Source organism: Homo sapiens, chromosome 4, assembly GCF_000001405.40.
Source record: "Homo sapiens chromosome 4, GRCh38.p14 Primary Assembly".
NCBI classification, from domain to species: Eukaryota; Metazoa; Chordata; class Mammalia; order Primates; family Hominidae; genus Homo; species Homo sapiens.
In genome coordinates this window covers 146,632,317-146,642,857 of record NC_000004.12, presented here as the reverse complement: position 1 = coordinate 146,642,857, position 10,541 = coordinate 146,632,317, and the positions used below count along the sequence as shown (strand labels likewise).

The 10,541-nt window shown below is 48.3% G+C and overlaps 1 protein-coding gene across 1 annotated transcript, besides 5 other annotated features; it reads right to left on the bottom strand.

Moving 5' to 3' along the window:
- Window positions 1-383: 383 nt before the first annotated feature.
- On the bottom strand, window positions 384-3,965 carry POU4F2 (POU class 4 homeobox 2). Its single transcript, NM_004575.3, has 2 exons — window positions 3,430-3,965; window positions 384-2,991 (listed from the first exon to the last, which is right to left on the bottom strand). Exons 1-2 carry the CDS (start codon window positions 3,715-3,717, stop codon window positions 2,050-2,052), a joined length of 1,230 nt encoding a protein of 409 aa, NP_004566.2. The 5' UTR covers window positions 3,718-3,965; the 3' UTR covers window positions 384-2,049.
- Window positions 3,285-3,866: an enhancer, noted in NCBI's record as "H3K4me1 hESC enhancer chr4:147560144-147560725 (GRCh37/hg19 assembly coordinates)". NCBI's record gives its function as "activates a minimal SCP1, AML or CMV promoter by ChIP-STARR-seq in naive H9 embryonic stem cells {active_cell/tissue: H9 hESC(naive)}" and the evidence as "EXISTENCE:reporter gene assay evidence [ECO:0000049][PMID:30033119]".
- Window positions 3,867-4,447: an enhancer, noted in NCBI's record as "H3K4me1 hESC enhancer chr4:147559563-147560143 (GRCh37/hg19 assembly coordinates)". NCBI's record gives its function as "activates a minimal SCP1, AML or CMV promoter by ChIP-STARR-seq in naive H9 embryonic stem cells {active_cell/tissue: H9 hESC(naive)}" and the evidence as "EXISTENCE:reporter gene assay evidence [ECO:0000049][PMID:30033119]".
- Window positions 4,448-5,029: an enhancer, noted in NCBI's record as "H3K27ac-H3K4me1 hESC enhancer chr4:147558981-147559562 (GRCh37/hg19 assembly coordinates)". NCBI's record gives its function as "activates a minimal SCP1, AML or CMV promoter by ChIP-STARR-seq in naive H9 embryonic stem cells {active_cell/tissue: H9 hESC(naive)}" and the evidence as "EXISTENCE:reporter gene assay evidence [ECO:0000049][PMID:30033119]".
- Window positions 5,030-5,611: an enhancer, noted in NCBI's record as "H3K27ac-H3K4me1 hESC enhancer chr4:147558399-147558980 (GRCh37/hg19 assembly coordinates)". NCBI's record gives its function as "activates a minimal SCP1, AML or CMV promoter by ChIP-STARR-seq in naive H9 embryonic stem cells {active_cell/tissue: H9 hESC(naive)}" and the evidence as "EXISTENCE:reporter gene assay evidence [ECO:0000049][PMID:30033119]".
- Window positions 9,257-9,757: an enhancer, noted in NCBI's record as "H3K4me1 hESC enhancer chr4:147554253-147554753 (GRCh37/hg19 assembly coordinates)". NCBI's record gives its function as "activates a minimal SCP1, AML or CMV promoter by ChIP-STARR-seq in primed H9 embryonic stem cells {active_cell/tissue: H9 hESC(primed)}" and the evidence as "EXISTENCE:reporter gene assay evidence [ECO:0000049][PMID:30033119]".

Below are 10,541 nucleotides of genomic sequence, written 5' to 3'. Positions count from 1 at the left end.
GCTGAGTTTCTTTCTTACTTTTACTCCTGATAGTTGGGAGGGAATGCATGAAATTGTTTCCATCCAATATCTCTGCTTATAAAGATTCTTTTTTGCAGGATTATTGCAAGTCTGAAGGAAGAACTCCAAGGGAGATATTTGGAGCCAAATATCATAATTTCTTCTGAGCAGAAAAGTGAAGTATCCTGTGAGATGAGTTCTCACTATTAAAAGGCGGTTATAAACCTTGTTCTTTAATACTTTACCATAGAAACAGCCCTTACTAAGTCCAAGCTATACTTTGATAACAACCACTCCCTAATAAATCATCAAAATGTGCTTCCTCCTTTAAAAAAGTCTCCCACCAAAACACTTCCCACATAAATGATTAAAACAACATCACATTTTAAAAGCCATTTAATTTTAATAGCATATTTTAATGAAAAAGCAGCATACGTTGCCAATAAAACATTAAAATTATCTCTTCAATGAAAGACAATCGAACAACACCAAAAATAAATTAATACATTACCATAGTAAATAAACCATCTATTAATAAAAACAAGAAACCAGGCCATATACAGAACTCAAGACTTTGGAGAGCCTCAAAGAGAACAGCAATACAGCAAAATTTGTAAGAATATATCTATGTGTGCATCATTTTTAATGAAATATTTACAGTAGATAAGGTACCAGTTATCATGTACCTAATTTTTTGTTCCAAAAGAATTTTTCCAAACAATGTGAATTTACAAGCAGTGCACTGTCTTTCTTATAGTTCAAATTAGTTTTTCTACAAACAAACCTCCAAAAGGAAAAACTGAAGTATTCCTATAAATATTAACATGTAGCCAACAAAGCAATTGAAAACTGGAAGACTGAAATACCTTGGTGAAATCTAAAATCTGAAGGGCAAACACCAAGTGGCAAATGCACCTAAAACTAGAAAATGGTGCATCGGTCATGCTTCCAACTGCTTCTTCCCTTCTGTTAGAGGTGTGTGTGTGTGTGTGTGTGTGTGTAAGGGTAAGTGAGAGCGCTCATGTGTCATGGGGACAATGTGGGAATCCCCATTAAATATGTAACGAAGTAAACAATACTTCAGACAGTGAATCAGGTCTACACGATTAAGACATCCATTACTGAGTGTCGACTCACAAATCAGAACACTACCAGTAAAAACAAAGAAAAAAACAATCTTCATTCAAGTGAGAATATACAAATGGGTCAAAAGGAACACAGTATAGGAGGAAAGCTGTAAAAATTCGGTAAACTCATCAAACAAAATTTTTTGAACGTTACTAGCTATACATTTCCCCCACTTTTTTTAGACGGAAGAAGTTTAATTAATTAGAATGTGCACAAAATTAAGTTGCTAGAGAGATAAATTAATAATTTACAGAGGGTTGTTCTGCAATAATCTAATAATAGCTTTCAAGATCAGTGAACACAGCAGGCGCAACTCTTTTCTTAAGCATTAACACTTCAGAGAAGGAAAAGGGGGTAAGAACCACAATAAAAATATATATATAATATACAGTGTAAATGCAGAAAATCTGCCATCTTTTTTTAAAATTCAAAATACTTTAGAGATGTCTCTATCACATTAAGCATCAACTCTAGTTTAAAGTTTTAGTCCTGAATCAATTTCTATTTCTGAAAAATAGTTGCAAAGTGTACTTTTAAACTTGAACACGGGTGATGTCTGTAAGAATAAAAACAAATCTTACTTGATCATTCTTGTGGACTTTTTAAACACTGTCTCGTCTGCCTTCCTGCAAACAGCCATCTCCACACTTCCTCTGAAGAAGCCGAGGTGGGGTTCAAAGGGACAACTTTGCTACAACAGACAAATACCATCTTTTGTTATTCTTTCCTTTGAGAAACTGTTTCACATTCTCACCGGCTTGGGCTCAGTTGTTCGCTCGTTCGCTCCCTCTTCAGTCCTCGATTTGTCGAGATTCACATTTACTGGAATTGTTTCTAGTCGCCAAAAGTGAAAAGAGGCAGAAGAGAGGAGAGAAAAGAGCGGACGAGGAAAGGGGCGTCTCTGGAGAGGCCAAGAGTCTTCTAAATGCCGGCGGAATATTTCATTCTTTTCTGTTTCTGCCTCTGGTTGCAGAACCAGACGCGCACCACGTTTTTCTTCAGGTCCAGCTTCTCCGCGATGGCGGCGATCTTTTCAGAGGAGGGCCGAGGCTGAATGGCAAAGTAGGCTTCGAGCGAGCGCTTCTCTGGCGCAGCGATGGACGTGCGCTTGCGCTTCTTCTCCGCGCCATTGAAGAGTTCAGGCTTGGTGAGCTTCTCGCGGTGGGACTTCTCGGCCTCCTCGAGCCATGCCTGCAGGATGGGTTTGAGCGCGATCATATTATTGTGGGACAGTGTGAGGGACTCGAACCTGCAGATGGTGCTCTGGCTAAGCGAGCCCACGCCGGGGATCTTGAGGTTGGCCAGCGCGGAGCCCACATCTGCCTGGGTCACCCCCAGCTTGATGCGTCGCTGCTTGAAGCGCTCGGCGAATGCCTCCAGGTCCCGCGGGTCGGCGTCCACGTCGCTCATGCAGCCCATGTGCGACGGCAGCCCGTGCGCGTGGGCCATGCTGAGCGCTGCTTGGTGCATGGGGTTCATGGTGGCCATGTGCGGCGCGTGAGCCGGCGTGGACACCACAGCGCCGTCGGGGCCCGCCATAGCGCCCAGGGCCAGCCCGGGACTCAGGTGCTCCAGCAGCTCGCCCTCCAGCGCCTGGTGCGGTTGGTGGTGGTGGTGGTGGTGATGGTGGTGGTGGTGGTGCGTGCCCGCCAACGCGGAAGGGTGCGAGATGGGCACCGATGAAGAAGAGGCGGCCGACGTGCACGGGATGGTATTCATAGTGTGGTAGGTGGCGTCCGGTTTGAAGGGGCTGTGGTGGGGTGGATGGTGGTGGTGGCTCTTGCTCTGGGAGACGATGTCCACGGCTGCCAGAGCCTCGGCGCGGGCCAGCAGACTCTCATCCAGCCCGCCGAATATATTGCTCTGCAATTGTAAGTAGAAGGCACACATTACGCTCAGCAGGGAATTGTACGCCCTCTCTCCGGAAGCCCCGGCCCAGGGCTCGACACCGTCGCCGCGCCTACAACATTCCCAGATCGTTAAAATAATAATAATAATAATCCTGAAAACAGAGGTGAAGAGAAAAAGAGGGAAGCCACAGAAAGAAGCCGAGAGTGCAGGAGGAGGAGGAAAGTGAGCCTGTAGACACAACGAAACACAACACAACACGCGCACAGGCAACATCCCAGGTCATAAAAATTAATATGAAAGGCAAGACCTGCTGAATACTTAAGAGAGAGAGAGGGGAAAATTGGTTGGAGGTGTGGGGTGATTTGCTGTGCAGACATGAAAAAAACATCAAGCAGATAAAGGGGGCTGTCAAAATGTGCCTTTAAGCGGTGATTATGCAGAAATACGCACCGGTGGGGTTGGAAGACAGGCTCTCCGCATAGCCTCCGAGCCCCCGCCGCCGCTGCTGCCACTGCTGCTGGAGCTGCTGCTTCGGCCTCCGCCGCCGCCGCCGCCGCCGCCGCCGCCGCCGCCACCACCAGCGTTGCTCGAGCTGCTGGGGGAGCTGGCCGAGGGCGCGATGGGAGCCGAGGAGCCCGGCGAGGTGCTGTGCAGTGCCGAGTACTTGGGCTCCACGTGCAGGCTGCCGCCGTGCGGCATGCTAAACGCCTGCTTGCTGTTCAGGGACATCATCATCATCTTCCCGCCCGCCGGGGCGCTGGTCCGTAGAGGCACTCACTGGTCCCGGCTGCCGGGACCCTCCGAGAAGTGCCGGGCCAGCCGGGGCTGGAGCTGGGAAGGGCTGTGCGAAGTTGAGCTCACCCGCCGCCGCCTCCGGACTCTGTACGCCTGATCTCGGCTACGCGCTCCTTCGCCGCCTCTGCTGTCAGTCTGAACGGATGCCTGACTCCGCTTGCCGCTAGCTGCAGACCTCGGCACCCGAAACTGCCCCCGCTCCTCGCGGCCGGCGAGTTATACTCCCCTCTCCCCGCGCCTACCCCCGCGCCCCCCGCCCTCCCTCTCTCCCTCTCTCCCGCGCGCCTCCGCCCTCCCTTGCCAGGAAACGCCGGCTCCTGTTCGGTTTCTCGCGTTGCCCCTTCTTCCTCTCTACTCCCCTCAGGCTTGAGTCCTTTCTGCTCTCTCAGCACTCGCCTCGCGCTCCCCCACCGCGCCCTCCGCCGCCTCTTTTCTGCCCCCGCCCGTGCTCTGTTGCCGCCGCCCCTTCGCAGCGTCCCGCGGCTGCTACTCACAATCGCGCCCCCACTCAACCCCACCCAAATGGCCAGGTCCGCGCTCCAGTCGCCGGGCAGTGCCTACCTAAGGACCAGCCTCCAGCCCCTCCCGCTTCTTCTGCCGGGTCTCTGTCTCACCGGAAAAAGAAACTCCCAAATAAAGTTGCGGCCCAAGCCAGCGTTGGGTAGGTAAGAGTGCCTCTTACCTGGCTGCCACCTCCTACGCCTCCTGCTTACCACTAAGTTCCAGGCTTCCAACCCCACTCGGCCCGCCCCCACCCCGTCAGCTCAGGTGACCCTGATCCCAGGTTCCCGGCCACCGCTGAGAACACAGACGTTGCGGCCAACCCGGGTTCTGCGCGCGGCTCTGAACTCCCAGCCCAATACGAGCGGAGGTCGGCGTTCGGCTACGAGCCCCCCACGGCCCGGCGGGTGCCTGGTGCCAAAGAGACATGGGGTCGGAGGGGCTGCAGGGCTTTCTCTCACTCGATTTCTCGCAGCTCTCAGCGGATTGGACAGCCGCGGAGCAGGCTCGGGTCGTCTGTGCGCATGCGACTCCTCCCCCTCCCCGCTGTCCCCACCCCTCCCACAACACACACACACATACACACAGGCACACACACACGCTCCTCTTGCCCCCCTTTTCTCTTCCTCCTCCTCCCTGTATCCAGTACAGTTCGAGTTGAGTCTTGGAAGGATCCACTGGCAAACCCTGCCCCTGGATTTATTATTCTTCATTAGCCACAATCAAAGGAAGAAGGGGCAACTGACAGGGAGAGGGAAGGTCAGAAATTACACAGCGCATATGCTGCTGAATACACCCCACAACACAGACACACACACACACACCCTCGGGGGCTGGCACAAACCTCACTTATCTTCATTTCCACAGCCTCTCGGTGCGGAGCCTATTTTTAGCTGACACTTCACTCCCACTTCTGTCCCAGTCCCAGTGCAGACCACTTTTCCTAGAGATGGACACACACTCTTGGTTCCAGTTGCAAAAGGAGATAATCTCTTTCTATCTATCTCTCTCTCTCTGTCACACACACACACACACACACACACACACACACACACTACTTCCTCTCCTTCTGGATCCCATTTTCTCTATACTTCCCGCGGTGTTGGGGGCTGCTGTCACCTCCCTAGAGAGCGGAAGGAGCAGGGTGCAGGCGAGGGTGAGAAGGCCCCGGGACCCCGACGCAGGAACCCGCGGGTGGCCCAATCCGGACGGGGGTTGACCGGGAGCAGGTGCAGGCACTGGGCGCCTGGGGAAGGCGAGCAGGTGCGAGAGCAGGCGGCAGGCCTGAGAGGCGCTGGCGCGCGCTGGGACAAAAACAGAGTGGGAAGGAGAGTGGAAAAGGGGAACCCTCGGGTGGTCAGCTCCCGGAAGCGGCGGTGGAGAGTAGGGGACCGCCTGTCCACCCCTGACCTCAGCCGGGCGGAATAGCGGTTTCAAGATGGGACCGCTGTCCTCAGGAGCCGCCAGAGTGCTGGGGAAGGCGGCAGCAACGAGCGCGCGACGGGCTCTGTCCATGGTCCTTAACCCCCTTCTGCTTTCCCTGGATCCTCTCGGGCTTCCCTTTCTCTTCCCCTGTGTGGAGGAAAATAATAAATAGTAGCCGAAGGGAACTCCTAGCAGCAGTGTTGCCGGGTGTGAGCTCAGCGAAACCTGGACATGGGGTAGGGAAAGGGGAGTGTTCACGTGAATGAATGTGGCTTGTGCCGGACGGTTCAAGTAAGTGCTTAGGTGTTTAATTTCTACCTCAACAACAGCCAGAGTAATTTTCAAGGAAACAAAAAAAAAATGACATTGTACAGCTCTGTCTCAAGCTTCAAGAAATGAAATAAATCAAAGTTAAAAGCTTGAGTATCATTTAATTATAGTGCGAATAGCGCTTTGAAAGAAGTAGAACAACATCTCTAAACAAATTATGACTGGGCCAGGAAGGAATTATTAGATTGAAATTTCATTTAGGCTCGGGAGACACCGCGCTTCACTGTGTAATCTGCTATGCCTCATCTGATTTGTATGCTTAATTCAGCTTGACGAATTTATTAGTTTTCATAATAGTGAAAAAATTGAGCAGTACTATGAGCTAATGCATTGTGTGTACTATAAATTGTATGTCATCGTGGAAAGGCTGAAGTCTATAGAAATCTTTTATTAATGTCGGTATAGGAGGGAGGATTTCCTGCAAGCCGTGAAGAGGTTCATGCCAAACTCTATCGGCACTATGTCTCACTGGTCCATTAACATATCGTCATACTAATTAGACTACTTCATCAGTGATATAATTTCAAACTTCAAATTATGTTCTAATTAACAAGGGTTGTCCAATTTGCTTAATCTTCAAAAGGCTTTGGATGGTCTAATTAGTATTAACTGTTGAGCATCTTTAAAGCCTAATAAAAAAATCCATAAAAATATTTTGGGTGTATTTTCTATCCGTACTGGGTAAAGGCCAAAGGGCCAAAGTGAGAGTGAAGATGGAAAATAACCGGAAGACAAATGTCCTCTTCTTTCTAATTCCCCCAGATTATTATAGCAAGTTAATCACATGAGAAACTTTTGGGTATTGCCACTCCTAAATAGTGTGTTTATGTGTTTAAATAAAGGCACAAGAATATCAAGGAGAAAAGCCACATGGGGAAAAAATTCTTCTCTTTCATTAGGTGCCTAATTAGATGTAAAGTAAAAAGTAACCCTGAGGAGTTTCCCGAGCATTATTGTGGCAACAGTCTGCTGAACTTGAATTGAAAATCAAATATTTGGGGTGTTTTGAACCTCCCTCTGTCCCCTCCCCCTTCATTGAGCTTAATTACTTGCAATAGTTGTTTTAATGTATGTTGTCACCTGGGAGTATTGAGAAATGCATATCGTTAATATGAATTAATCTTGATTTTAATAGTAACTGACAACTGATCTCCAAAATGCTAAACACTTGTCACCACTTCATATGGTAAATACGGTACTATAATAAATTCATGAAATAGAGAGGGACACTGTTGAAATGACTGGACAAACTTTGTTTGATATGGAATTTATTGACCAAAACTATTTTAAGCAAGAAAACTCCCATGAGAATATTTTCCTGATAACTGAAATTCATATATCATCAAAAAAAATTTAACATAACTTTTTTATCTCTCTGATATTTCTCAGTGATATCCCTAATTCCAGACAAGAAAAAAAGGAAGGCTGTGTTTTCAAATTATCAATTTGAAGTAAATTAATGTGGTTGTAGAGCAATTCAAGAGTTTATTTACCTGTATTTCCTTCCTCCTAGAAAACACATACATTTTTAAAAAGTCAAGTCATAGAGTTAGGCTTCTCCATTCCCCACTCAAAGTGAAAAATGAATAGTGATTGTGTTGCATTAGAGGGAAAAAGCAATTGTTCCTTCATCAACCAGGACTTGAAATCTTGCAGTCTCTCCTTTCAGGAGTGTCCAGAATACCAACATCGTTGCGGTGATATCAACAAAACCCATTTCGGTTTTGCCCACAGGCATTGCTGCAAAGTGCTCCAGCGAGTGTGGAAGCCTCTCTCCAAGGAAGAAAACCTCCAGCCCCGCAGTTATCAGGAGCCATCTAAACAATTAGAAAGTTGGCAATAAACCCAAGGGGTGGAGGCAAATGACCCAAAATTTGAAACCTGCTTCCTACGACCTCAACATACCTATGCCCAAGCCGCTATTCACACTTGTGCATCTACACACCTACAGACCTACCTAGCAAAAAGAAAATAAACATTTTATTTTTTAAGCAGCAAGATGGAAAATGGATCAACTCTGTGACTTCAGGAGGCGCTCCTTTCTTCTCGCCAAGCCTCTTTGTTTGACAATAGCTTCTGTCCAGTCCTCTGGCAGATGCAGACAGATGTGAGCAGCCCCCCTCACTATCCCCCACCCCTGGGTGAGGAGGAGTAGCTGGAGATTCCCCTCAGGCTTCTGGGCAAAGGGTCCCCGCAGTAGGCGTCCCCCACCCGAAAATCAGCCCGCCCCTGAAGCAATCCCAAGGGGAGAAATCTCTGTCTCCTCCTTGTATCTGGGTCCTAATTTACTATTAAAATTTTAAGTAGTGCATTCATATTTTACCGGACCTAATGTCTTTTATTAAATTTTAATCTATTAAGGGCAGGGTGATTTCTTTGTATTTCAAACAGAATTGAATTGGACTACAAGGAGGATTTCTGAAAAGACAGATCTGGCCCTATTCGCTCACCATTTCGATCTCAGGGAGAGAGTGATTGGTGGAAGAAAGAGGGAAAGGAGGGATTCCCCCATCTGTTTTTGTACGGATTTCAAAATCAGCCAATCTGCTTCAGATTCTGAATAGAAGATGAACACCCTGAGCTCTCTCTGGACTCGTGGCTTGAGACAGAAGAGTTTGGGTGGCGGGGTGGCATAGATTAAACTCTTCCGTGGCCTCTACTGTTACAGGGAGGAAAAAGAAGACACAAGAGGGATTATTCCTGAAACAAACTTCTGGAAGCTCCCAGGGATGTAGTTGCAGAGCAAAGTTCAGGTGAAGGAGGGCGCTTGGGGGCTTGAGTATTGAGATAGGGGTTTATGTTTGAGGAATGATGGGTGGGTTTTGTTCAAACATCTTTTCTCTTCTGAGTATGTCAACTACTATCCTGTCACTGGCTCCCCTTGAGCCCCAAGCTCCCCTCTCCTGCTTTAAATGAGTCGCTCTCTCGCCCAGAGATTCCAGGCACCCCATATGCCCGAGGGTAACCGCCTCCTTTCAGTGCCTTTCCGGCTCTCACTCCTAACCTTCCAATGCAAGTAGTCAGCGAGTGTCACCAGAAATCTCTGCATCCAGTAGTTCCCAGGCCCTTCTAGAAAGAAATACAGACTCACAACCTCTTTCGCTCCCATCAAAACCAAGTAGAATTCACGGAGGAAGAGGGGACAAAAGCAAAGGCTATCAGCACTCCAGAAAGCATACTCTGGAGGTTGGGAGAGACTTGGCCAAGACTAGTGGCCTGTAGTCGCAGAGCAAGCCACGTGGGGCTCTCTCTAGGTAATTCTGACCAGAGGAAAGCAGCCCGGCAGAGGACAAGACAATGAAGGGAGACAAGGCAGAAGAGAAAGCAACGGTTCCCCTTTTCCCGGTGGAGGAAAGAAAGCAGAGCTCAGTTTCAAGGAAAGTAGACTGGGAGGAGGGGGACGCAGGACGCAGCCAGCCCAGGTTGGCTGGATGCCTTAGAGGCTCCTAGACGCCCTCTCAATTCCGTCTGGTGGGTTTGCTAAGGCTGATTGTGACCAGGAACTCACATTCAGGGACAGCTGATTGGACCCACTGGCATCGACTAACCTTTGAAGCAAACACAACAGGCTCCAGGAAACTAAAATCTGCCCTGGGGAAGGACTCAACTCCTCAGCACCTAATTCTGCACTCTTCCAGAGCGCAGGGGCTCAAATTCACACATCTGTGCAGACATACACACACATGCACACACACACGCGCGCGCGCGCTGACACACGCAGGCACACAGACACACACGTGCTGACACTAACGCACACCCATTCAGAGGCGCACACGTTTATGTTTCTCCCCTCTTCTTCCCGCGCACCACTTGGGGGAGGGGGGCAGACCTCTGCGTTCTGTTCAGAAGCAGGCTCCCTGGTGTCTACTTGTCCCAACGAACTATTATTTTTCATCGCAGTGAACTTCCTTGGTCCGCGTATTTACCTCTTTTCAAAGTTAAGTCCAGTCACGAAATCAAACTTAAAGCATTGTAACAATCAATGAAGACTTTTGCAATCCATGGCGCCTTGCGCTTCCTAGAACTAAAATAAATGCAAGAAATCGAAACTTAATTACTTGAAAGAAATCCAGAAATCCCTCTGCATAATTTATCCAGTCATTTTTAGTAGCTTTTGTGTTCAGTGCAGTGTATGTTAACTATCCACTTTTGGCTAAGATCTGGCTCCTCTAAGTCTGTTCCCTGAGGTTCTCAGCCCAGGAATTCTGCCCTGCGAGGGGCTCCCACCTCCTGCCACTCCTCAGAGCTGATTTAGTAACCTTTTTTTTTTTTTCCAAACACCACCAACTGTAAGGGTACCAGAATTCCTGGGGCTATGTATACTTCAAAATTGTTTTAAATCTCACTCATTCTCTCTTCTTTGTCTTTGTCTCACTAGGGCTATTATTTGAATTTGTGTGAGTTGTTTCATTCTCCATCTGAAACCAGGCCTCTTAGTAAATCCAAACCAGAACTATTTCTCTGAGGGAATAGTGTGTCTCAAAAAGTACCATTTTGCTGGTGATGGAAAA

Excerpts from the sequence above, each read along its gene's own strand:
- POU4F2 (NM_004575.3), bottom strand. The coding sequence starts at position 3,717 with ATGATGATGATGTCCCTGAACAGCAAGCAGGCGTTTAGCATGCCGCAC. Across the intron at positions 2,992-3,429 it reads CCTGTCTTCCAACCCCACCG|AGCAATATATTCGGCGGGCT; the intron begins GTGCGTATTTCT and ends TTACAATTGCAG.